General features: G+C 40.4%; 1 long non-coding RNA gene across 1 annotated transcript in view, besides 2 other annotated features; it reads left to right on the top strand.

Annotated features, from left to right (window-relative positions):
• The window catches only part of LOC105377144 (uncharacterized), a 192,342-nt gene that overhangs the window by 102,104 nt on the left and 62,346 nt on the right, over positions 1-27,892 (top strand). The gene's annotated exons all lie outside the window — the stretch shown is intronic.
• Positions 26,560-27,096: an enhancer, noted in NCBI's record as "NANOG-H3K4me1 hESC enhancer chr3:66893643-66894179 (GRCh37/hg19 assembly coordinates)". NCBI's record gives its function as "activates a minimal SCP1, AML or CMV promoter by ChIP-STARR-seq in naive H9 embryonic stem cells {active_cell/tissue: H9 hESC(naive)}" and the evidence as "EXISTENCE:reporter gene assay evidence [ECO:0000049][PMID:30033119]".
• Positions 27,097-27,635: an enhancer, noted in NCBI's record as "NANOG-H3K4me1 hESC enhancer chr3:66893104-66893642 (GRCh37/hg19 assembly coordinates)". NCBI's record gives its function as "activates a minimal SCP1, AML or CMV promoter by ChIP-STARR-seq in naive H9 embryonic stem cells {active_cell/tissue: H9 hESC(naive)}" and the evidence as "EXISTENCE:reporter gene assay evidence [ECO:0000049][PMID:30033119]".

Below are 27,892 nucleotides of genomic sequence, written 5' to 3'. Positions count from 1 at the left end.
TACGGTAGAAATAAATATCTTTCCGTGTCAGGCAATCAGTTTCCCAAATCAGAGTTAAAAACTAGTATGAAACATACGTAAGGATTAAGCTAATCTTTATTTGAGTTCCATCTCTGCAACTTGTAAGTTGTGTGACTTTGGGCAAGTGGTCCTGGGCCTCAGTTTCATCATCTGCAAAACTTTAAAAAAAAAAATAGTTTTTGACACCTAGTAAACCATTACTAAATGTTTGCTGTATATATATTTTGCATTTATGTAGATTGATTACACTGATACATTTGATGTAGTTGGTTTATCAGTCAGGGTTCTCCAGAGGGACAGAACTAATAGGATATATGCATATATGATGGGGAGTCTTTTAGGGAGAACTGGCTCACACCATCACAAGACAAAGTCCCACAATAAGCTGTCTGCAAGCTGGGGAAGAGTAGTGGCTCAGTCCAAGTCCAAAAGCCTCAAAAGCAGGGAAGCTGACAGTACAGCCTTCAGTCTGTGGCTGAAGACCCAAGAGCCCCTGGCAAACCAGTGGTGTAACTCCAAGAGTCCAAAGGCTGAAGAACCTGGATTCTGATGTCCAAAGGCAGGAGGAGCGGAAGGAAGCATTCAGCACAGGAGAAAGAAGAAAGCCAGAAGACTCAGCAAGCCAGCTTAACCCACCTTCTTCTACCTGCTTTGTTCTAGTTGTTTTGATTGGATGGTGCCTACCCACACTGAGGGGGAGTCTTCCTCTCCAGTCCACTGACTCAAATGTCAGTCTCCTCTGGCAACACCGTCACAGCCACACCCAGAATAATACTTTACCAGCTATCTAGGCACTCTTCAATCCAATCAAGTTGACATCTAATATTAACCATCACAGTGGTGAATTGAATTATATGAAGACTTGATTTCAGACTCTGCCATATGATGGAATTTTGGCTATTGGTTTATTGGAAGGGATTTTATATTATATCATGATATAATATGATAATATGTTCTTACTGAAAAAAAACAAAACAAAATAAATTGTTTCTTCCCTTTAGAAGTGACTTACTGGGTCAGATGTGGTGGCTCATGCCTGTAATCCCAGCACTTTGGGAGGCCAAGGTGGGTGGATCACAAGGTCAGGATTTTGAGACCAGCCTGGCTAACATGGTGAAACCCCGTCTCTAATAAAAATACAGAAAAAAAAAAAAATTAGCCAGGTGTGATGGCGTGGGCCTGTAACCCCAGCTACTCCAGAGGCTGAGGCAGAAGAATTGCTTAAACCCAGAAGGCGGACATTGCAGTGAGCAGAGATCGTGCCACTGCACTCCAGCCAGGGTGACAGGGCAAGACTCCGTCTTGAGGGGGAGAACAAAAGTGATTTACTGTCATCTGTCATTGGGGACCAAGAGGAAGGGATTTATAGGCTCTTTGATGTCTCCTCGCTCATTGGTTCAGGACCAAAAATAGAAGGTGAAGAAGTTCTCTGTGTTCTGGGACGTGGAGCCCAGAGCAGTTTTGGAAAGCTGGAGAACAAGAACACACTGGACTTGGAAGTTTAAGTGTGACAAGTTGGGCCTTTCTAGAAGCTAGAGAAAGCTATTGGGGTTATTACAGAAAGCAGAATACCTAAGGTTTTCCTATATGCTTTCCCACATTCTGGCTTAAAATTTAATAAAAATATTTAAGTACTAAATTAAATAACTAAATTCTGTCAGTGGTATAGTACTTCATTACTACACATCACGCATTGTCTCTTTTAAAAGGAATCAAAGAGAACATGGAAGACTAGGATCTCTTAATTCTTGTAACTTTAGAAATCTTAGGAAAATAGAAGCCATTCAGCCAAAACATTTATTAAAATCTAACTTCTATTATAAAATAATTTCTGATACTAACTTATGCCATTATTATAGGCTAAATGTCTACTACATAATAATATTACATGTTAATTACTACCTCTTCATAAATGATCATTAATAATAATATCTTTCACTTTTCTTATGTTTTTCAAAGTAGCTTATTACACCAGCTCCTTGTTACAGTACAACCTTGAAAGGTAGATAGGACAGGTATTATTAGGACAGAAAGCTGGCACATAGGGAAACACAATTATTTTTTTTTCTTATCCTTAGAGAGAATTCAATAGCTGAGTCAGGTCTAGGACACTGTCTCCTTCAATTCAGATAGAATGAAACACAGTGTTCTGTCTCCTGAAGAGATAATTGCCATTTACATCATTTGTTACTCATATGAAAATAAATATGATAGGATATCATTTACTTTTTCTTATGAGAATGGTAATAAATGCTATGTGGAAAGTACAAAAGAATACAAGAATCAAATCGCCTTCCTATTACCCAAGATAATTTATTATTCCTCGATGTTTGTTTTCTGTGCATAAACATGGAGACTTACATAAAATTTATTTTACCGAATTGGAATATTGTGTAATACTCCTTTTTTTTTTTTTTTTTTTTTTTTGCTTTACTGTGTTGGAAAACTTTTCCATGTCATGAAAAGTTTTTCTGCAACATGGCTCTTAATAGCTCTTTAATTTTCCACCATGTGAACAGGCCAAAATTAATGCAATCCCAATTGTACTTTTAGTTTCTCTCTACTTTTCATACTATTATTGATAATATGGCATCAAGCATCCTCAATGCACATCTCTGATAATTTTATTAGGACATTTTTATAGAAGTAAGGCTACCAAAACAAAGGATGACCTATACAATTTTAAATACTATATTACTGATATGGTTTAATTAATAGACAAAGATTTGAAGGCTTCACTCACTAAAAGATATTGCTTTTTGAGCTTTTACAAAATGCCCTGGAATGCTGGCTTTCTGGATATGAGTCACCTTGCAGGAAAAAGACTTACATGTCATATTTCCCAAAATATGATTTAAACACTATAAATGTATATTAAAATGACTAAATTCAACCTAGATGTGTTTTTAAAATTTCATAATATCCCCTGTGATAATTGATGACAAATATATATCAAAATCAGGGTTGAGAATTAGTGGTCTAAAGCCCACGTAGCTCCAAAGGATTTATTTAGGCTGGTGACTTTGCTAAAAGGTTTCTAAAACTATTTCACTTTATATTGCTAATTTTTAACAGCTATCAAGTTCAGTAAACTATCTGTCCAATAGAAGTCAGCATTAAACCCTCTGCTCAATTACATACATCTAATGCCGGTTTTCATAGCTTTGGCACTTCTGCTATAATTTGAGTAGTTTAATATGATCAGAGTGCCAAAAAGCTTAATGTGCCTAGGTGATTTCACAGGATAGATGATGATCATTAAAATATTATGTTGTTTATTTCACTTGAGATAAAAATGAGTGATTAAGAGCTGAGAGATGGAAATGTCATTGAAGTGACCCATTTCTTCCATGACAGCAATAACAGGTTTTGTTTTCTGCATGGCAGTAGTGTGTTAGCTGGGACTTTTAGTCAAGCAGAGCAGAAATCCAGTGCAGGTAACACAAACAAAAGCAAAGGATTGTTATAAAGGATAGAGATGCAGTTGGCCTGAAAACTGAGCTAAAATCAGTGCCTTGAGCACAAGGAGAAATCCTGGGAGTCTTCTACATCTTTCATTTCTGTGATTCCTTTGTGTTTTAAGACTACATTGTGGCTTTTTTATACTTCTACCACAAAGCAGAAAATGGCCACCAACAATAGCTAAATTTACATTTTAGCCATTCAAGAGACTAGGTAAACTGAAGCTGAGATTGTTTCATCTTTATTTTAAATTTCCAAGATGAAATTTACAATAGCATCAAAAAGAATAAAATACTTAGGAATAAATTTAACAAAAGATATACAAACGTTCTCTGAATACTACAAAACATTGTTGCAATAAATTAGAGATCTAAATAAATGGTAACATATAATATCTTTCTCCCAAGTCTTCATGGATACAAAAGCATGGTATTTGTTAAGATGGTAATACTCCCCAAGTGGAACTACAGATCCAAAACAATCCCTATCAAAATTCCAGATGCCAGTTTGGCAGAAATTGATAAGCTCATCCTAAAATTTATATGGAAACGCAACAAACTCAATATAGCCAAAACTATCTTAAAGAAACAAAGTCAGAGGGCTCACACTTCCCCATTTCAAAACTTTCTATAAAGCTACAGTAATCAAGGAAGTGTGGTATCATAGATCAGTGGAATAGAATTGAAAATTCTATTCAAAAATAAACCCTGGCATTTACGGTCATTTGACTTTCTACAAAGGTGCCAAAACAACTGAATGAAGGAAGAGTAGCTTTCCAATAAATGGTACTGTGGCAACTGTTTATCCACATGCAGAAGAATGAAGTTGGACTCCTACCTTATTTCAAACACAAAAATTAACTCAAAATGGACCATAGACCTAAAACGATAAAACTATTAAAATAAAACACATAAATGTATCTTCATGACTTTGAATTATGCAATACCTTCTTCATGAGACATGAAAAGCCACAAGTGACAAAAGAAAGAGTAGATAAATTGAACTACATCAAAACTTCAAAAAACGTTCCTATTGTAAGAAAATGAAAAGAGGCTGAACACAGTGGCTAACTCCTGTAATCCCAGTGCTTTGGGCGGCTAAAGCAGGAGGATCACTTGAGGCCAGGAGTTTGAGACCAACCTGAGCAACATAGCAAGATTCTGTCTTTAAAAAAAATAAAAGAAAAAAATTAACTGGGCATGATGATGCACGGCTGTAGTCCTGGCTACTCAGGAGGCTGAGGCAGGAAAAATTGCTTGAGCCCAGGAATTCAAAGCTGTGGTAAGCTAGGATTGCACCACTACATGTTAGCCTGACAGACTGAGACCCTTTCTCTAAAAGGTAAGTGAAATAAAGAAATGAAAATACAATCTAATGAATGAGAGAAAATATTTGCAAATTACATACCTAATAAGAGACTTGTATCAAAAATATATAAATCTCAGGCTGGTATTGCTGTTTAAGAAAAAATATATTTTTTATTGAGTTGTAAGATATATATATAATAAATTCTATATTTATATAAGTTATATATGTAATATGTTATATATTAATACAATGCATAAGTTATATAAGTTGTAGATATATCTATATAGATATATGATATCTATAACTTACAACTCAATAAAAAATGAGCAAAGATTTCAATAGACATCTATATAAAGAAGATATACAAGTGACGAATAAGCACATGAAAAGATGCTCAACATCATTAGTAGTTAAGGAAATGCAAATCAAAACCACATAAGATGTCACTGCATACCCACTAGGATAGCTGCAATAAAAAAGATGGACCCACAAGTGTTGGTGAAGATGTGGAGAAATTAACACCCTCATTCTTTGTAGCTAGGAATGCAAACTGATGCAGCCATTTTGAAAAACAGTTTGGCATTTCCTCAAAATGTAAGCATAGAGTAATCACATGACTTACCAATTTTCCTCCTTGGGTAAATAACCAAGACAAATAAAAACATGTCCACACAAAAACTTATACACAAATGTTCATGGCAAGCACAACCCAAAGGTTCATCAACTGATAAATGAACTACGATATATCCATATAATGGGATATTATTCAGCCATAAAAAAGAATAAAATTAATATGTGCTACATCGTGGATGCACCTTACAAACATTATACTAAGTGAAAGAAGGCAGTCACAGAAGACCACATATTGTATGGCTACATTTTCGTGAAATACCCAGAATAGACAAATGTATAGAGACAGAAAGGAGAAATAGTGGTTGCCTAGGCCTGGGGATGGGAGACATTGCGGGGGGCTGGGGATGAGGAGGAGGCAGAATGAAGACTGATTTCTAATTGGTATAAGGTTTATTTCTGGGTGATATAAATGTCCTAAAATTGATTGTGAGGATGGTCGTACAACTCTGGGAATATACTAAAAGTCATTGAATTGGGAAAAAAAACCCTAGGGATAGAATCTGAATGACCTGGTTTGGGCTATATATCTACCCCTAGACCCATCAGCTATGGCCAGAAAGATGTTTAGTGAATATGTCTGCTTCCATAAATATGTGGACAGAAGGATGCAGGGGAGGAAGGGGTAATTTTCAAAAAGAAGCTGCCTAGATAGATAAGTAACACATCAGATGACTCAGAGCTAAATATTCTCTCTAACAGCAAGTTAGTAGATTAGTACGATGAATATGAATACGTTATTTAAACTTACCTTCCCCTCTTTTTTATTTAGTCCATTGCAGGGTAGCTAGAACTTGTTAAAAACATTACTGGATAATATAAGCAACATTTTAACTTACAGACAAGTTTTGACTCAGTATCGTTTTTCTTTTGTCTCTGAAAAGATATTTTTAACCAAAGGCTGTTAGTGAAAAGGCAACTGACGTTTGCTTTATTTGCCTGTCCTCTCAGAACACAAATACTCCTATGTGAAATGCCACCTGGAGACAGTGGCTATGGCCCATAAATTTAATTACTAACCTTTAATTCATAGCTGGCAAGATCAGTTCTGGAAGTATCTAAGCTAATCAGGCTTCTCTGACAATGCTAATCAATTGTTCAGCAGTCTACCTTTGGCTTAATTACTGTTGCACTACATTACATTTTCAAAATGTCAAGAATCCTCTTCTGGAAATGCAATAAATCATGCCTACATGGTGTCGTAGACAGCCTGTTATTCCCTCACACCTGACCTTGGCTGCGTGAAGTTGAAATTGATCATTTACTGCAGTGGTACAATGTTATACAGAAAGGAGCTTCAATAAGAATCATAGCACAAAAGAAAAAAAGAAAAAAAATAAGCTTTTCAGCACATCCTTTCTTCACCTGAAATGAACCAGGTGCCGTCAGATGTTGTTTTTAAAGGTTTGTACGTCCGCAGTAGTATTTTCTGAAACAGATGAGTGTTGAGGCTTTTACACTTCTGAAATCGTTATCTAAGCAGCATAAAACTACCACCTCAGCAGAAATCCAATTTCAGTCTCACTGTAAATTCAAATCCAAAAATGACTGCTTCTTTTTCTGCTACTTTTATGTAAATTTTCTTAAAAGTCATCCACAAATACTTCTCAGAAAATCAAAAGAAAGGAGACAGGCGGGAGAAGAAGTTTCAACATTGAGATTTAGTATACGGTTTAGAGTTGGACCTGGGTTCTATTCCTGTTGCACCACTCACTATCTGCATGAAGCAGAGCAAGTAATTTAACCTGTGTATGCTTCATTTGCCTCATTTGTGCACTGGGTGTGGTAATGGGTTCGTGCCTCTAAAAAAGTGGTTAACCAGCGGGCGAGGTGGCTCACGCCTGTAATCCCAGCACTTTGGGAGGCCAAGGCAGGCAGATCACGAGGTCAGGAGATCAAGACCATCCTGGCTAACACGCTGAAACCCATCTCTACTAAAAATACAAAAAATTAGCCGGGCGTGGTGGCGGGTGCCTGTAGTCCCAGCTACTCGGGAGGTTGAGACAGGAGAATGGCATGAACCCAGGAGGCAAAGCTTGCAGCAAGCCGAGATCCCACCATTGCATTCCAGCCTGGGCGACAGAGCAAGACTCTGTCTCAAAAAGAAAAAGAAGTGTTTAACCAGCGGTTATTTTGCCCTCCAGGGGACATTTTGCAATGTCTGGAGACATTTTTGGTAGTCACAGCTGGATGAGGGGTATATCAAGTGGGTAGGGACCAGGGATGATTCTAAACATTTTACAGTGCACAGGACAGCCCTCATTACAAAGAATTACCCAACCCCAAATGCCAATAGTGTAGGAGTTGAGAAGCTCTGCTCTAAAGCACTTAGCACAGTTCTTGATATAGAAGAAACATTCAGTGAATCATTACTATTAGTATTTTGATTTGTTTGATTTAAATAAAGCCACTCCCACCACAAATAAAAATTCCCTCTCTCTCCCCTTAGCTAATTGCTATTAATACATCATCAATAAAAGAAAGAAATATTCTATCTGTAGATAATATTAGAATTTTTTTCTTAATAAATGAAATAGGGCTTTTTCTCTCTACTAGCAATAGTTTCTTTAAATGATCTCAAAATAGTGATTGAGATAGTGATTTTTCAGTTTTAAAGTTGTCTACCATGCGTGAATACATAGATCAGCTTTTAAAATCTCATTCAGTCTTTCAAGGACAAATCTTTCTTTGACTCATAGACTCTTGGAGGCATGTCACAGGATGATATAACTCTTAGATGTCATTGGGTCTGATCTAACACACAAAGCAGAACTCCGTTGGGTTTAAAATAATTATTCCATGATTATAATAGAGCAATAGCTCTTTTAGTTGACTTCTTAGCTTACTGGTTCTCACACATAGGTTGGAAGAGAGAGAAGGCAGAGTTTCCATGGGTGCCCTGCCCGGTAGGCCTCACTACAAGTCACTCCCAGTGATTACCAGTACATCTGGCTTGGGTACTGTCCAGTTACCGTTCGCCACCCTTCATCTTTTCTCCTCTCCTCTCTATTACAGGGGTCTCTCTCTACCTATTACACTCTCTACGCTCCCTTGCTAACTGACCTCTGACTACATTAACCCATGACAGCCACTGATGGGAGACAAAACAGGAGAAGGCAAGAAGCCAGGGAGACGTCTTTCTGTCTCTCTCTCTGCTTCAAAAATCACCTCTCCATGGTCCCACCTCCAGCTAGGTGGCCCTGATTGCTGGATTCTGGTATCAAGCATCTCTTCACCTTGTCCCTCAGCCCGAAGGATGGTAGATACTTCCATTTTATTAATCCCTGAGTTGTCTCACCATCCCATTTGAGATCTTCCAGCATCTCTTTTTGCCAGCATTTATTTTATAAACTAATTTTTCCATGTTGAATATCCTCATTATATATGTTATATTAGAGAATATTTGATTCTGCAATAGGAAACAAGTAAAAAAGGATAGATAGAATTAGGTACAGAAACAAATATCTTACGATGTGTTAGGCATAGAACGACGTTGTCCAACCTGTGGCCTATGGCCCACATGCAGGCCAAGATGGCTTTGAGTGCGGCCCAACACAAATTTGTAAACTTTCTAAAAACATTGTGAGTGGTTTTTTTTGCGATTTAGCTATTATTAGTGTTAGTGTATTTTATGTGTGGCCCAAGACAATTCTTCCAGTGTGGCCCAGGGAAGCCAAAAGACCGGACACCCCTGTCATAGAAAATGTAAGCTGAGCACAAGTGTGCTTAACCTATATAAGAAGGCATAGAAGGACCAAGAAAACCTTAAATGTCTCTGAAGCACCAAATATTCACACTACACCAAATAAACGTGAGGCTCTGGAAGCTCTCAATATCTGTGATGCTGAAATTGGTGACACGCATTCTGGCCCCTCATCTCCTCTGCCCACAAAGCACTGGCTGATTGATGAGTCACATCTATAGCCCGGTGCACTTGACCGTGCACCTCTCCCACAGAGCGAGCATGTTGGCTCTGAGCTCCTTCCACCTGCCAGGCCCTTCACTCAAACTTTAACTCTGGTCCTTCTGGCCAGTGGGCAAGGCTGATGCAACACAGCTCCTAGCCTAGAGTAGGACATATAAACGTGGCATGTCCATGGTCAGGTGCAGTGGCTCACGCCTGTAGTCCCAGCACTTTGGGAGGCTGAGGCAGGCAGAATGCTCAAGCTCAGGAGTTCGATACCAGCCTAGACAACATGGCAAAACTCCATCTCTACCAAAAAAATTAGCTGGGTGTGGTGGCACCTGCCTGTAGTCCCGCTACTCAGGAGGCTGAAGTGGGAGGATCACTTGAACCCAGGAGGTCAAGGCTGCAGTGAACCATTATTGCTAATGACACAGGGAGATGCTAATGACACAGGGAGACACTGTTCCAGAAAAAAAAAAATTGCATATTCTAGGTGTCCTTCCAGCCTAATCTAAGTGTTAGTGTCCTCATCTCTCTCTTCTTACTCTTTGTTAAGCATTCTAGATTAATTCAAACCAGGTGCTTCCTGATTCTTAAGTAGGCCTATGAGCCTTTCTTTTCTATGGCTTCTAGGAGAACTCTCCTCTTAGTGTACTGGGAAGTTAACATCCATCAACGTAGTTTCCCACATGCCATTTTGAATCAGGCTTTGGTCCATGTAAAGACCCTGACATGTTTCTAGGGCCTGCATGTTGCCCCTCAGGAACCATCTCCCCACTCCAAATAAGAGACATTTTCCATCAGCTTTCTGAAGAGTGAAATCTCAGCATGTCAGAACTCAACTTGGATTTTATGTTCTCTAGTAAAGCACTGGGAACCTAATCTGGTAGGGCTTTTGACAAGTATGGTCAAAAAGTTCAACCTCTATGAGAAGCAAACAGGCCTGAAACTGAAGGCTGTTCACCAAAAGAACATACATACTACATCAGGCTGGCCAATAGTCTTTAAAACCTGTTGTGGGTCTTGGTTGGCAGAGATGAGACAGATATCCCAGGTGAATAACAAAGAAACTAGTTTAATGAGGTCAACGATGTACCTAAAATGTGCCCAGCTCTGTACTGGGCACTTTATATAAAGTATCTCACTTAATCCTTGAATAATCCGAAAAGTAGATAATATACCCTATTTCACAGAGGAGCATTAGAGGGTCTGAAAAGTTCATCCCACAGTCACTGAAGCAAGAAGTGGGCATTTAGCACTGGAAGCACAGACTATGGAACCAGTCTGTCTGCGTTCATTTCCCAGCTCTGCCACTTTCTAGTGGATAACCTTGGATGTTTTTATTTTGTTCTCTTGGTTTCTTCATTTGCAAAATGGCGCTAATTACAGCTTCTACTTCAGTTTCCTACTTCACTGAGTGAAGATTCGATTAATATTTTAAAAGAACATGTAACAGCTCCTGGCCTAAAATGTTGGTTAAATTTTTAAAAACCCAATTTTCTTGACCCCAAGTCCACTATTCAGCTTTAGCTCCCTCTAGAGCACTCTAGACTTGCTTGTCAGGGTATGGCCTGCAAATGTCTGTAGTGGGTTTCCTGGAAGCCTGGCTTGAGATAGGGTTTCATATGGAAGTACAAGGCAATGCCCTCTGGAGAAATCTTTCAGGAAGTGAGGGAAGCAAGATAGAGTAAGGTATGTGGTTTCAGATGAGGTTATCTCCAGCCTGCTCCCACTCTGCTGAGGAGCTCCGAAGCAGAAACTATACCCTGAGTTTGGCCCTCTTTGCGGCAAGGGGGCTGGGCTTTTGTGCCTCTGTATCTATGAGTCACTGGATACCAACTGCAGAGAATGAGGTGGTGGAGAGGGGCAAGACATTAACAATAGCCCAAGGTCAGTCCTTCAGAGACTTTAGCAGCAAAACAGATAACCACTGGGGAATGGGCACACTGAACCTGGTAAAAGGAATCCCAGTGGACCCATGTAAGGCACCAACAGCTAGACTCCTCCACTGCGGGAATCCGTGGCATTGGCATCACCTTTTGAAACAGAGAAAGTTTCCTTATCCCCCTTGCAGGGCAAGCGATGGGGGTGTGGCTCGCTTCGCTGGTGCCCCCCTGCTCCTACCTCTAGGGGGAGCATGCAGACGGTACGATTGTGGGGAGTGCTGATCCCGCAGCAGCGTCTAGGCTTGAGCGTTTACAGCTCTGGAGGCCCCAGTGAGTGTGTGTTACAGTGCGCGCTTTCAATTTTATCATCTGCCGGTGGCTTGTGTTAGTCAGCTCAATTAGACCCTCTGCCTTATTGCAAGGACAGAGGCCTTTCTGTATCCCACGTTCTTGCCTTAATGTACCAGAAAAATCCGATCACGTGTGGGCTTGGAGAATGAGTGCAAGGTTTTTTATTGAGTGGTGATAGCTCTCAGTGAGGTGGATATGGAGGTCAGAAAGGGAATGGGATGGGAAGGTGGTCTTCCCCTGGAGTCAGACCACCCAGCAATGGGACTCTCCTCCAACCGAATTCTCCTCGGCGTCCATGTTGTTCTGCCCTGGATGGCCTGTCGACGTGTGCCCGTGTGTTCCTCTCGATGTCCAGCTGCTTGTGTGTTCCTCTGCTAGTGTGTCCATCTCGACATCCAGCCGCTTGTGTCTGTGCCCGTTAGGGTCTCGGGTTTTTGTTTTTTTGTGTTTTTTTGAGATGGAGTCTTGCTCTGTCACCAGGCTTGAGTGCAGTGGCACGATCTTGGCTCACTGCAACCTCTGACTCCCAGGTTCAAGCAATTCTTCTGCCTCAGCCTCCCGAGTAGCTGGGACTACAGGCATGTGCCACCACGCCCAGCTAGTTTTTGTATTTTTAGTAGAGAGGGTGTTTCACCATGTTGTCCAGGATGGTCTCAATCTCTTGACCTCGTGATCCGCCTACCTCGGCTTCCCAAAATGCTGGGATTGCAGGCATGAGCCACCACACCCAGCCAAGTCTCGGGGTTTTTATAGGCACAGGATGGGGCATGGTGGGCCAGGGTGGTCTTGGAAAATGCAACATTTGGGCGCAAAATCAGGAGTGCCTGTCCTCACCTAGGTCCAGGGGCACAGGCCTGAGGGTGGAGCCCTAGCCAGGGACCCCACCTTTCTCTACCCAGCACCTCCCTGCCCCCTTCCTGTATCACTTTGAGTTTGTTGGAAACACAATTTCAGGATCCATCCCAGACCTTCTGGGTCAGTCTGGTTTACCAAGATCCCCAGAGGTTTGCTCGTTAAGGATTGAGAAACTCTTTTTCAAAGAACTTTACATAGTGTGTGTGTGTGTGTGTGTGTGTGCGCGTGTGTGTACACACATGCACATGGATAAAAATCTTCAGTATCACAGCCAACTCAAAAAACATTTCTATCAGAAAATACCTCTTATTTCCGTATTCCAGTATTTGGTAAACCACACCTGTAGCATTCCCTTCAACAAAATGGATAAGGAGGCAACAAATATTGTGTCTTAAAAACAACAAATTAGAAAACAAGAACCAGATAACAAGCTTTAACAGGGATCCGTGGCTAAACTTTGCAGAGTTTACCAGAGCTCACTGAACCATATGAGTAGGACGTGGCATGTGCCAGCAAAACACATGCTCTCCAGGGCCTGGGTCTGACCTGGCTTTAGAGTGGTGGTCGATGAGCTTCACAAATATTTGTATTCATTTTATTGGGGGCAGAGCTTCTCCCTGACATGGGGCCAACCGAAAGCTACAAAATGCCCTGGAAAGAAAGATCCAATTTAGAGTTCTGATCAGGGGAATTTTTACAGCCAAAGCAGATGGCCAGTATTTTGGATCATAATGTTTGTAAGGTCTGGCCTAGGGATTTAGAACGGTCATACTAAAAGAGGTGAATTCATAAGTTATCAGTAATTTTTGCCAGGCCTTTATACTTTAATAAGAATTTAGTGGAAAGGTTATTTGTGATATTCTTACTTTTTAACCACCCAGAATGCCTCCAAACTTCCTTTTCCCCCAAGATCCTACATTGCTGACATTTGCATACATCTTATAGTGATAATGCTTTAACTTTGTGCTTCTTATAAACCAGGCATAAACACACAGAAGAGGTGACAAGCGCCCATCCATCTCATTTCTCACTTACTCCCTGGAGAGTAGATTTTCTAGACCCTTTTAGTTTAGACACACCCATGTGACGCCTGGCCAATGAAATGTGAGTGGAAGTAACACATAAACCTTTCTGGACGGACGCATCTAAGAATCGGTGTGCTAGCCCACATCCTCTTTCTCACTGCTGTGGCGACTGAAGCCATCTGTTGATATGATAGTGATTCAAGTTGGAGAGGATCTGGTTCTCTATTTCACAGGACAGAGGGAGTGCCTTCTCACTGACCTGCGCTTGACTTTGCATGAGTGAATAATTTTCTTTGCTGAGCCACTGAGATTCAGTTTGTCTATGGTACAATCTCGCAGTTCCTTACCGTTTATTACAACATTAGCAATCAAGACCATGGAATTTTGTTGGCTAAAATATTAAGATGCCTAAGAGTGGTGGATTTGGAGTCAGAAGACACAGATTCAAGTCTCAGCTCCAGCACTTACCAAGTGTGTGACATTAAGAACACCATTAACAGTCTCTGGACTTAAGTAAAGTTAGATTGAGTTACAAATCTCTAAGATCCCTTCTTCCCCAACTCTAGCATTCTGTGATTCTTTAAAACCCCAAACCATGTTTTCTCTTTTAGACTAAAGCTACTCCCTACACACTTTTATTGGAAATGATTAAGTCATTGCATGTATACATGCAAGTGTATACACTATGCAAATTCTACAAGGATATTCTCTGTAAAGAGTCATGGAATCTGTTGGTGCCTGTAAAAATACAGTATATTTTCTGTGGAGAAAGTTTTATAGTTATATAAGCTATATTTACAAGGCCATGCCTTATATTTGCCTGACTTATTCATCTGCCTGATACACAACGGAGTCTAAAGGAGCCATTATTGTCACATTGAGTGGTCCGCCCAAAAACAAAACTAATATGAAACTGAGCTATTTTTGCTACCACTAAATGGATGACTTTCCATCTAGATTTAACCATATCCAATCTTCAACTTGAATACAGGAGATCAAGGTAGATTGCAGCTGAGAAATGTATTCTCGCTCAAATTTTAGGAGCTATATTGACCCTGACACCTTTGAGCTGCAGGTTGCTACTTAGTAAATTACTTGTATATAGATTGATTTGGGGGTCTTCAAGTCTTCCTCTCCAAATCCTCCTTTTGTTTCCAATGCTATTGCCATGACATTGAGTCTTTCCTCCTCATTCCATACATGCATGCACCACCTTCTCTTTTTACTCTTGCCTTTGATATGTCAGATCTTACACTCTAGAGTTCAGACTGCAACAGACAACAGACTTCTTATTTACCTTTGAAAAACAGACACAAACATTTGACATTGACGTGAAAAAAACAGCCTACTATAGGTTTTAAAACGCTGAGCTCTCGGCCAGGCGCGGTGGCTCACGCCTGTAATCCCAGCACTTTGGGAGGCCAAGGCGGGCAGATCACAAGCTCAGGAGTTCAAGACCAGCCTGGCCAATATGGTGACACCCCATCTCCTATAAAAATACAAAAAAAATAACGGGGCGTGCTGGCGGGTGCCTGTAGTCCCAGCTACTTGGGAGGCTGGGGCAGGAGAATTTCTTGGACCCCAGAGGCAGAGCTTGCAGTGAGCCAAGATCGCGCCACTGCACTCCAGCCTGGGCAACAGAGTGAGACTCCGTCTTAAAAACGCTGAGCTCTGAATACTGATCTGAGGGAAAACTCAGGGGATTGAACTGGGGGAAGGGAGAAATTAGGGTGAGGAGGGGCACGTAGGAATAGTGCAGTGATTATTTCAGATGGTATATTGTTCATGAAATGAATATATCCTCCCAACTTGCTTCATCTTTTCAGAGTTCTTCTGAAAACAGAATGTATTTGGTTAGTGCAAAAGTAAATGTGGTTTTGTCATTACTTTTAAGCAAAAACCGCAATTACTTTTGCACCACCTAATATTTGCTTTCTCATTGTCTATTTATGGTTTGTCCTCTCTGGGGCTGTTCCAGCCACTGCAGCCTCCATCCCTGCTGCTCCTAGATTAATTATCTTGGACCTCCTGTTTCAGTGAGCCGCTAATTCAGAGGGAAGCCCCTTTTGTCCCAACCTTCTCCGGGTTCACAGCTCAAATGCATATTCAGGAGTCCCAGAGAACAAAAAGCACTTCCATCTACAAGGAAATGCAGAGGCAACTGCTTTCTTGCTACAGGGCAGAAAGAAAATAGATTTTTCTCATCCTTTCACAGTGGGTGGAAGTCTGTGAGGACAGACTTTAAAGTAGCAGACAGCACAAAATATTGGTGGAGTTTTGGGGATTTTGTTTTTTTGCATTTGGTCCTTTTTTTGTGTGTGTTTCGGAACTCGATTGGAAATCTAGGTACTTCTAAGTTGTTCTTTATCAAGTTTGGATCAATAATAGCTACTGTTGTAAAAGGGAACATTTTCCCTAAAAACTCATGCTAAAAGGAACATTACATTTAGTTGTGTGTTCTACAGTAATTTACTCTCCTATAGTCTCTGAAGTCCTTGTAATCTTTAGAGCTAAACTTCAATCTTATTTTTATTCTTTGGCTTCAAGCACACATTTGTTGTTATTGAACCCCCTGATTTTGTCTTTCCCCATATTCAACAGACTTTGAAATTGTCTATCTCTGCAGCTTTCTATTGCCATCAGTCCTCTAGAGTTTGTTGTCTTCCTTCCTTCCTTTTTTGGAAACATTTCAATGTATCTCTTCTTTTAAATATTGTTTTGTTCTATGCCCCTTTCCTGTCTAACCCTATTTCCAAGTTCTTATTTATTCTTTGCCTTTTTCTTTCCAATTTCTCTCAGAATCCAAACCAAATCTTGCTTTTATCCCACTGTTAGTTGTTACGAATTATATTATAGTGTAGAATAACAAAATATTTGACTCATTTGTTTACCAAGAAATTTAAGTGTATGTGATTCTTGTAAGGATAACATTCCTCCTGTGTGCTGGTAGCATAAGGAAGATAAAATTCCATCAAACCAAACTCACCATAATCTTATTCTTCATGAAATATCACTAATTTATCTTGATAGCAAATTAAAGATGACCAAAAATGTTTGATCTCCCATTTAGAAATGGGATCTCCTCCTGAATTGGGATGGACTGTGACTTCTTTGACCCATAAAATTTGGTAGAAGTTTGACTGTGCTCAACCAATAGTTTGACAGCATGAGGGCTCAGGCCTAAGAGACTGACAGCTCTGCATCCTCTCTGTTGGGACACTCACTCTTAAAGCCCTAAGTCACGGCGAAAAAAAGTCCAACTCCACTTGATGGTGCTGGAGAAGCCATGTGTAGATGTTCCACTCAGTCGCCCCAGCTGAGCCCAGCCTTCTATGCAAGGCTCCAAACACACAAGTGAAGCTATCATGAGCTCCAGACCAGTCCATCCGTCAGCTGAATACCACCCAGGAACTTCCAGTTAATGCCATAGGGGGCAGAGGAAGCACCCTGTCAAGCCATACCCAAATTTCTGACCCACAGAATTCTGGAACATAATAAAATGGTTGTTTTGAGACATTATGTTTTGGAGTAATTTGTTACCTAGCCGTTTATAACTATCATACCTTTCTTTAATGCCACCAAACTTGACCATGAACTGGTGGGCCTAGAGGTACTCTTGAAGGAACATAGTTTTTCCCTTGGGCCAACATGGAGCCAGAGAAGAAGTTGACCGTACTTCTTCCTGGTCACTTGAGCAAAAAGATCATATCCTACTTGGCCTGAGGCTACTCTAGGTGATTTGAACCTCAATCTGCCATGTCATTGTGTGAGAGATTTACATTTATTTTTACCCAAACAACTTCTTTAAGCTTTTATTCCACTTGCACAGTGATCATGGAATCCTTCCCTTACCCTGGGATCAGCGAACTATGACCTATGGGCTGCCTGTTTTTTTAAGGTCCTCCAAGCTTAGAATGTTGTTGTTATTGTTTTACATTTTTAAGCTGTTGTTTTAAAAAAGAAAGAAAGAAAACTATGCAGCAGAGACAATATGTGGCCTGCAAAGTATAAAATATGTGCTATCTGACTCGTTACAGAAACAAGTTGCTAACCTTTGGTAATACCATGGGTATTGAGAATGATACGTTGAAGAGTGTGATGGTGAATATTTAGTGTCAACTGGACTGGATTGAAGGATGCAAAGTATTGTTCCTGGATGTATCTGTGAGGGTGTTGCCAAAGGAAATTAACATTTGAGTCAGTGGACTGGGAGAGGCAGACCCACTCTCAATCTGTGTGGGCACCATCTAATCAGCTGCCAGCCTGGCTAGAATAAAGCAGGCAGGAGAAGCTGGAGAGCAGACTTGCTGAGTCTTCTGGTCTCCATCTTTCTCCCATGCTGGAAGCTTCCTGCCCTCGTACATCAGACTCTAAGCTCTTCAGTTTTTGGACTCTTGGACTTAAACAAGTTTTGGCAGGGGCTTTCGGGCCTTTGGCCACAGACTAAAGGCTGCACTGTCGGCTTTCCTGCTTTTGAGGTTTTGGACCTTGGATTGATCCACCACTGGCTTCCTTTCTCCTCAACTTGCACATGGCCTATTTTGGACTCTACCTTGTGATTGTGTGAGTCAATTCTCCTTAATAAACTCCCTTTCATGTATACATCTATCCTATTAGTTCTGTCCCTCTAGAGAACCCTGACTACTACAAAGAAGCTCTGGATTCTGTTATGCCCCTTTGAAAACTATTGGTTATTTTTGTAAGCAGCAAGTTAACTTTGCTGAACACAAAACTGCAAACTATTTCTCCCCTGCTGTGAACAGCAGCTGGACTCTTAGTACAGTTCATTTAGCCTTAGCTGGATTTCTGGGCATCTGACCCATGCGTATATGACTCGGGACCAGCCACAGATTAGGACAGAATTTATACACAAAATTTGCAGCTCCCTCTCTGTGGCTCTCTCCTTCCTACTATATACCACACTCTTACCCCCAACCCTGCCATTTTCCAGCTGCCACAATCTGCTTGGACCCTGACATCTGATTTTTCAAGCTAGTATAACTGCACGTATTCTGAGTTTGAGTTGCCCTACATAGTAGACTAGAGACTGCCCTCAGACAAAAAAAAAAAATCTAAAAATATGGGAAACTTGCCAAGTACCATTCCCTTTTTTCGAGTGTCAACTCCAATGCAGTATTTGCTTTCTTCTGATTTTTATCCCATGCCTTTAGATAGTTGTTTTGTTGCATTTTGTCTAGAGTTTATAGTTGTTATCACCAGGAATGCTGGTCAAATTAAAAATACTCAAAAAATGCCCAAAACAGAACCCTCCCACTCTTTTTATAATTCTTCAGTTACTCATATATGTTCCATTCATTGGAGAGCCCTTTACGAGGCTGTATTTTGTTCATCTGTATTTATGATGCCAAGAGTCTTGCCACTCACTCTGTGATCCCTGGACTAGAAGCACTGGCTTCACCTGGGAGCTTATTAGAAATGCAAAGTCTCAGGCTCCATCCGAGAACTACTAAACCAGAATCTGTGCTATAACAATGTCCCAGGTGATATCTTTGCACATTAAAATTTCATAAGCACAGACACAGGGCACACTAAGGGCCACATCATGGCCACTTTGAAAATGTTTATTATAAAAGTAAATAAATTCCTCAGCTCAACATCTTTTTTCATTTTTTATAGTTTTATTAAGGTATTATTGACATGCAATAAATTACACATACCTGAAGTATAAAGCTTAGAGATTTTTGACATGTTTGTTCTGTGAAACCATCAAGTAATCAAAATAATAAGCATTTGTATACGTCCAAAAGTTTACATTTAATCTTTGTTATCTTTCTGTCCCATTGCACATCCCGTTCCAGGCAACTACTGATCTGCTTTCTGAGATTGTGTATTAGTTTCCATTTCATAGATGTTGATATGAATTTAATTGTGTAGTATACACTCTTTTCTGTCTGGCTTCTTTTATTCAGCATAGACATTTAAGATTCATCTTGTAGTAGTATATTTCAATGGTAAACTTTTATCGTTGTGTGGTATTTCATTATGGGGATACATCACAGTTTGTTTTATCCGTCCACCAGTTGATGGACATTCAGGTTGTTTCTAGTTTTTGACTTTTGCAAGAAAAACTGCTGTAAGTTTTTGTCTGAATATGTGGTATATCTAGGAATAGAATTCACTGGGTCATACAGTAAGTCTATGTTCAACTACTTACAAGCTGCCCAGTTGTTTTCAAAAGTGGTTGTATCATCATACGTGTCCACCAACACTGTATGAGAGTTGGGTAGAAGAATAACTTTTTCTCAAATCATAATCAAGAATTAGTACCTGGCTCCTCAGGGAATAGACATTAAAATCCTGGATAATAGTTCCTTGAGGACCTTTTGTCTTCTTTAAAAAATCATGTGCGGCCGGGCGTGGTGGCTCACGCCTATAATCCCAGCGCTTTAGGGGGCTGAGGCAGGCAGACTGCCTGAGGTCAGGAGCTCGAGACCAGCCTGGCTAACATGATGAAATCCCATCTCTACTAAAAATATAAAAATTAGCCAGGCGGGGTGGCGCACACCTGTAGTTCCAGCTACTCCAGAGGCTGAGGCAGGAGAATCGCTTGAATCCAGGAGGTGGAGGTTGCAGTGAGCCGAGATCATGCCACTGCACTCCAGCCTGGGTGACAGAGCAAGGCTCCATCTCCAAAAAAAAAAAAAAAAAAGCTAAATATACCAAGCAAGGTCTCCTGGAATGAAAGTTTTTTGATTCCAAAGAAAAATAAAAAATACATTTTGAATAAATTAAATAATTTGCTAATTATTTTGGAGATTGTTGACTAAGCCATGGAAATGCCTCTTCTGAACGGCTCATATCTTCTGAGGATCTCAGGTCACCATTTATGACTAAGTAAGGCATGCTTGCATTAAGAAATCATTTCCCTTTCAGATTTCAACGTCAACATCTAATTCCAATATGTCTTCCTCATCAGAAAACCCTTCCTAAACAGGTGAGAAATTTTGATTGGTAAATATGGGTGTAAACAATAAAGCAGAACTAATTTAAAGTTCTGTCTAAACACGGAAAATGTGACCAATGCCGGCCACTTTGTTTAGAGTGGTGCCAAGATCGTGTGTGGTTATAATTGAAATGAGAAACTTTATGGATCAATTTTTCCATCTACTTTTCTAAAAAGCTTTTCCCCCAACCTCTAGGCTGGAGATGAAAATCTCTCTCAAAAAAGAATCTTCCACCCCCACTCAATGCATAAATTCACCCAGATAAAAGCATTCTTCTTCATTGGCAAGCAAAGCTGATGATAATTATGGTCTCTGGCAAAGCAAACCCTGTCATAAAAATATTTCTGATATATGTTTATAGTTTAGGAAACTACAAAATAATTTGCAAATATAGAACACAGAAAAAGCTTGACACAAACCAGTTGAGTATACTCCCTTTACATTTAAAAATGATCCTACCCAGTTAAAATTTTCTTCACTGGCCTTCATCTAATGGTATCCTTGATGTGATTTTATGTGTTGCCTTCTTTAAAGGAAAATTATAATTTAGGAGCATCCAAATGAAAAGCCATGGCAGTGAACAAAAAGAACCAACAAATAGTGAAAAGTTACAGAGAAAGCAGACAAAAGAGACTTATCAGGAAGAATTTGTAAAATATATACAAAGAAGCAACAAAAACATGTTTCTGCATCTGAACCTTGCTCACTGTTTGGCCCACGAACAAGACGACAATGTCAAAATTCTTACCCATAATGAAATTAATTAGTCTGACATTCCTCCCTTTCAAAGTGATCTGTAATTCCTATTACTACATAGTAGGGATAAGCTAAAGTACTTATCTTTTTTTTTCCTGGGCATATAATGTTATTATGTAAGAATGATTTGTAAAAATGATGCTTCTAAATAAGAATGGAACAATACTTTTTTTGTTTGTTTTTTGTTTTTTGTTTTTGTTTTTAATTTTATTATTATTATACTTTAAGTTTTAGGGTACATGTGCACAACGTGCAGGTTTGTTACATATGTATACATGTGCCATGTTGGTGTGCTGCACCCATTAACTCGTCATTTAGCACTAGGTATATCTCCTAATGCTATCCCTCCCCCCTCCCCCCACCCCACAACAGTCCCCAGTGTGTGATGTTCCCCCTCCTGTGTCCATGTGTTCTCATTGTTCAATTCCCACCTATGAGTGAGAACATGAGGTGTTTGGTTTTTTGTTCTTGCGATAGTTTACTGAGAATGATGATTTCCAATTTCATCCATGTCCCTACAAAGGACATGAACTCATCATTTTTTGTGGCTGCATAGTATTCCATGGTGTATATGTGCCACATTTTCTTAATCCAGTCTATCATTGTTGGACATTTGGGTTGGTTCCAAGTCTTTGCTATTATGAATAATGCCACAATAAACATACGTGTGCATGTGTCTTTATAGCAGCACGATTTATAGTCCTTTGGGTATATACCCAGTAATTGGATGGCTGGGTCAAATGGTATTTCTAGTTCTAGATCCCTGAGGAATCGCCACACTGACTTCCACAAGGGTTGAACTAGTTTACAGTCCCACCAACAGTGTAAAAGTGTTCCTATTTCTCCACATCCTCTCCAGCACCTGTTGTTTCCTGACTTTTTAATGATTGCCATTCTAACTGGTGTGAGATGGTATCTCATTGTGGTTTTGATTTGCATTTCTCTGATGGCCAGTGATGGTGAGCATTTTTTCATGTGTTTTTTTGGCTGCATAAATGTCTTCTTTTGAGAAGTGTCTGTTCATGTTCTTCGCCCACTTTTTGATGGGGTTGTTTGTTTTTTTCTTGTAAATCTGTTTGAGTTCATTGTAGATTCTGGGTATTAGCCCTTTGTCAGATGAGTAGGTTGTGAAAATTTTCTCCCATTTTGTAGGTTGCCTGTTCACTCTGATGGTAGTTTCTTTTGCTGTGCAGAAGCTCTTTAGTTTAATTAGATCCCATTTGTCAATTTTGGCTATTGTTGCCATTGCTTTTGGTGTTTTAGACATGAAGTCCTTGCCCATGCCTATGTCCTGAATGGTGTTGCCTAGGTTTTCTTCTAGGGATTTTATGGTTTTAGGTCTAACATTTAAGTCTTTAATCCATCTTGAATTAATTTTTGTATAAGGTGTGAGGAAGGGATCCAGTTTCAGCTTTCTACATATGGCTAGCCAGTTTTCCCAGCACCATTTATTAAATAGGGAATCCTTTCCCCATTTCTTGTTTTTGTCAGGTTTGTCAAAGATCAGAGAGTTGTAGATATCCAGCATTATTTCTGAGGGCCCTGTTCTGTTCCATTGGTCTATATCTCTGTTTTCGTACCAGTACCATGCTGTTTTGGTTACTGTAGCCTTGTAGTATAGTTTGAAGTCAACTAGTGTGATGCCTCCAGCTTTGTTCTTTTGCCTTAGGATTGACTTGGCGATGCAGGCTCTTTTTGGGTTCCATATGAACTTTAAAGTAGTTTTTTCCAATTCTGTGAAGAAAGTCATTGGTAGCTTGATGGGGATTGCATTGAATCTATAAATTACCTTGGGCAGTATGGCCATTTTCACGATATTGATTCTTCCTACCCATGAGCATGGAATGTTCTTCCATTTGTTTGTATCCTCTTTTATTTCATTGAGCAGTGGTTTGTAGTTCTCCTTGAAGAGGTCCTTCACGTCCCTTGTAAGCTGGATTCCTAGGTATTCTCTTTGAAGCAATTGTGAATGGGAGTTCACTCATGATTTGGCTCTCTGTTTGTCTGTTTTTGGTGTATAACAATGATTTTGATTTTTGCACATTGATTTTGTATCCTGAGACTTTGCTGAAGTTCCTTATCAGCTTAAGGAGATTTTGGGCTGAGACGATGGGGTTTTCTAGATATACAATCATGTCATCTGCAAACAGGGACAATTTGACTTCCTCTTTTCCTAATTGAATACCCTTTATTTCCTTCTCCTGCCTGATTGCCCTGGCTAGAACTTTCAACGCTATGTTGAATAGGAGTGGTGAGACAGGGCATCCCTGTCTTGTGCCAGTTTTCAAAGGCAATGCTTCCAGTTTTTTCCCATTCAGTATGATATTGGCTGTGGGTTTGTCATAGATAGATCTTATTATTTTGAGATACGTCCCATCAAAACCTAATTTATTGAGAGTTTTTAGCATGAAGAGTTGTTGAATTTTGTCAAAGGCCTTTTCTGCATCTATTGAGATAATCATGTGGTTTTTGTCTTTGGTTCTGTTTATATGCTGGGTTACATTTATTGATTTGCGTATGTTGAACCATCCTTGCATCCCAGGGATGAAGCCCACTTGATCATGGTGGATAAGCTTTTTGATGTGCTGCTGGATTCAGTTTGCCAGTATTTTATTGAGGATTTTTGCATCAATGTTCATCAGGGATATTGGTCTAAAATTCTCTTTTTTTGTTGTGTCTCTGCCAGGCTTTGGTATCAGGATGATGCTGGCCTCATAAAATGAGTTAGGAAGGATTCCCTCTTTTTCTATTGATTGGAATAGTTTCAGAAGGAATGGTACCAGCTCCTCCTTGTACCTCAGGTAGAATTCCGCTGTGAATCCATCGGTCCTGGACTTTTTTTGGTTGGTAAGCTATTGATTATTGACTCAATTTCAGAGCCTGTTATTGGTCTATTCAGAGATTCAACTTTTTCCTGGTTTAGTCTTGGGAGGATGTATGTGTCGAGGAATTTATCCATTTCTTCTAGATTTTCTAGTTTATTTGCGTAGAGGTGTTTATAGTATTCTCTGATGGTAGTTTGTATTTCTGTGGGATCATTGGTGATATCCCCTTTATCATTTTTTATTGCCCCTATTTGATTCTTCTCTCTTTTCTTCTTTATTAGTCTTGCTAGTGGTCTATCAATCTTGTTGATCTTTTCAAAAAACCAGCTCCTAGATTCATTAATTTTTTGAAGGGTTTTTTGTGTCTCTATGTCCTTCAGTTCTGCTCTGATCTTAGTTATTTCTTGCCTTCTGCTAGCTTTTGAGTGTGTTTGCTCTTGCTTTTCTAGTTCTTTGAATTGTGATGTTAGGGTGTCAATTTTAGATCTTTCCTGCTTTCTCTTGTAGGCATTTAGTGCTATAAATTTCCCTCTACACACTGCTTTGAATGTGTCCCAGAGATTCTGGTATGTTGTGTCTTTGTTCTCGTTGGTTTCAAAGAACATCTTTATTTCTGCCTTCATTTTGTTATGTACCCAGTAGTCATTCAGGAGCAGGTTGTTCAGTTCCCACGTAGTTGAGCAGTTTTGAGTGAGTTTCTTAATCCTGAGTTCTAGCTTGATTGCACTGTGGTCCGAGAGACAGTTTGTTATTATTTCTGTTCTTTCATATTTGCTGAGGAGTGCTTTACTTCCAACTATATGGTCAATTTTGGAATATGTGTGGTGTGGTGCTGAAAAGAATGTATATTCTGTTGATTTGGGGTGGAGAGTTCTGTAGATGTCTATTAGGTCCGCTTGGTCCAGAGCTGAGTTCAATTCCTGGGTATCCTTGCTAACTTTCTCTCGCGTTGATTTGTCTAATGTTGACAGTGGGGTGTTAAAGTCTCCCATTATTATTGTGTGGGAGTCTAAGTCTCTTTGTAGGTCACTAAGGACTTACTTTATGAATCTGGGTGCTTCTGTGTTGGGTGCGTATATATTTAGGATAGTTAGCTCTTCTTGTTGAATTGATCCCTTTACCATTATGTAATGGCCTTCTTTGTCTCTTTTGATCTTTGTTGGTTTAAAGTCTGTTTCATTAGAGACTAGGATTGCAACCCCTGCCTTTTTCTGTTTTCCATTTGCTTGGTAGATCTTCCTCCATCCCTTTATTTTGAGCCTATGTGTGTCTCTGCACATGAGATGGGTTTCCTGAATACAGCACATGGATGGGTCTTCACTCTTGATCCAATTTGCCAGTCTGTGTCTTTTAATTGGAGCATTTAGCCCATTTACATTCAAAGTTAATATCGTTATCTGTGAATTCGATCCTGTCATTATGATGTCAGCTGGGTATTTTGCTCATTAGTTGATGCAGTTTCTTCGTAGCCTTGATGGTCTTTACAATTTGGCATGTTTTTGCAGTGGCTGGTACCAGTTGTTCCTTTTCATGTTTAGTGCTTCCTTCAGGAGGTCTTGTAGGGCAGGCCTGGTGGTGACAAAATCTCTCAGCATTTGCTTGTCTGTAAAGGATTTTATTTCTCCTTCACTTATGAAGCTTAGTTTGGCTGGATGTGAAATTCTGGGTTGAAAATTCTTTTCTTTAACAATGTTGAATATTGGCCCCCACTCTCTTCTGGCTTGTAGAGTTTCTGCCGAGAGATCAGCTGTTAGTCTGATGGGCTTCCCTTTGTGGGTAACCCGACCTTTCTCTCTGGCTGCCCTTAATATTTTTTTCCTTCATCTGAACTTTGGTGAATCTGACAATTATGTGTCTTGGAGTTGTTCTTCTCGAGGAGTATCTTTGTGGCGTTCTCTGTATTTCCTGAATTTGAAAGTTGGCCTGCCTTGCTGGGTTGGGGAAGTTCTCCTGGATAATATGCTGCAGAGTGTTTTCCAACTTGGTTCCATTCTCCCTGTCACTTTCAGGTACACAAATCAGATGTAGATTTGGTCTTTTCACATAGTCCCATGTTTCTTGGAGGCTTTGTTCGTTCTTTTTATTCTTTTTTCTCTAAACTTCTCTTCTCACTTCATTTCATTCATTTCGTCTTCTATCACTGTTACCCTTTCTTCCAGTTGATCGCATAGGCTACTGAGGCTTCCGCATTCGTCACTTAGTTCTCTTGCCTTGGTTTTCAGCTCCATCAGGTCCTTTAAGGACTTCTCTGCATTGGTTATTCTAGTTATCCATTCGTCTAATTTTTTTTCAAAGTTTTTAACTTCTTTGCCATTGGTTCGAACTTCCTCCTGTAGCTCAGAGTAGTTTGATCGTCTGAAGCCTTCTTCTCTCAACTCCTCAAAGTCATTCTCCGTCCAGCTTTGTTCCATTGCTGGTGAGGAGCTGCGTTCCTTTGGAGGAGGAGAGGTGCTCTGATTTTTAGAGTTTCCAGTTTTTCTGCTCTGTTTTTACCCCATCTTTGTGGTTTTATCTACCTTTGGTCTTTGATGATGGTGATGTACAGATGGGTTTTTGGTGTGGATGTCCTTCCCGTTTGTTAGTTTTCCTTCTAACAAACAGGACCCTCAGCTGCAGGTCTGTTGGAGTTTGCTAGAGGTCCACTCCAGACCCTGTTTGCCTGGGTATCAGCAGCAGTGGCTACAGAATAGCGGACGTTGGTGAACTGCAAATGCTGCTGCCTGATCGTTCCTCTGGAAGTTTTGTCTCAGAGGAGTACCCGGCCGTGTGAGGTGTCATTCCGCCCCTACTGGGGGTTGCCTCCCAGTTAGGCTACTCGGGGGTCAGGGACCCACTTGAGGAGGCAGTCTGCCCATTCTCAGATCTCAAGCTGCATGCTGGGAGAACCACTACTCTCTTCAAAGCTGTCAGACAGGGACATTTAAGTCTGCAGAGTTTACTGCTGCCTTTTTGTTTGTCTGTGTCCTGCCCCCAGAGGTGGAGCCTACAGAGGCAAGCAGGCCTCCTTGAGCTGTGGTGGGCTCCACCCAGTTTGAGCTTCCCGGCAGCTTTGTTTACCTAATCAAGTCTGGGCAATGGCAGGCGCCCCTCCCCCAGCCTCGCTGCCACCTTGCAGTTTGATCTCAGACTGCTGTGCTAGCAACGAATGAGATTCAGTGGGCGTAGGACCCTCTGAGCCAGGTGAGGGATGTAATCTCCTGGTGTGCCGCTTTTTAAGCCAATTGGGAAAGCGCAGTATTAGGGTGGGAGTGACCCGATTTTCCAAGTGGTGTCTGTCACTCATTTCTTTGACTAGGAAAGGGAATTCCCTGACCCCTTGCGCTTCCCGGGTGAGGCGATGCCTCGCCCTGCTTTGGCTTGCGCACGGTGCACTGCACCCACTGTCCTGCATCCACAGTCTGGCAACCCCAGTGAGATGAACCCGGTACCTCAGTTGGAAATGCAGAAATCACCCATCTTCTGCGTCGCTCACACTGGGAGCTGTAGACCGGAGCTGTTCCTATTTGGCCATCTTGGCTCCTCTGGAACAACACATTTAATAATAAACTCTGTTCAAGATAAAAAAAATGTCATTTCCATTTGAATGTCAAAGTAAATTCCTTTCTTAATAAATATTTGAAATAGGTATCAATATTTGCAATCAGCTAATACTTAGTAGCCATGAATTCTCAAATTCTAGAAAAGGAGAAGCAATGGAATGACAACAGAAATGAAGAAATAAGTTATCGACATTAAAATGGACAGTTTTCAGTTTTTAATCAAAGTGGGCATTAGGATTGGCCAAGAATATAACTTTTAGCTAATTGCACTAATTTGTTGGAAGTTTCAGCCAGATCCCAGTGGACTGAGGGCACAGAATCCCTTCCCCTTGACTTTCAGTGGGCTCACTGCTAATGGAGAC

The sequence above is a fragment of the Homo sapiens genome, chromosome 3 (assembly GCF_000001405.40).
Source record: "Homo sapiens chromosome 3, GRCh38.p14 Primary Assembly".
NCBI lineage: Eukaryota > Metazoa > Chordata > Mammalia > Primates > Hominidae > Homo > Homo sapiens.
The sequence above is the reverse complement of the archived record's forward strand: the minus strand, read 5'-3'. Positions and strand labels throughout refer to the sequence as shown.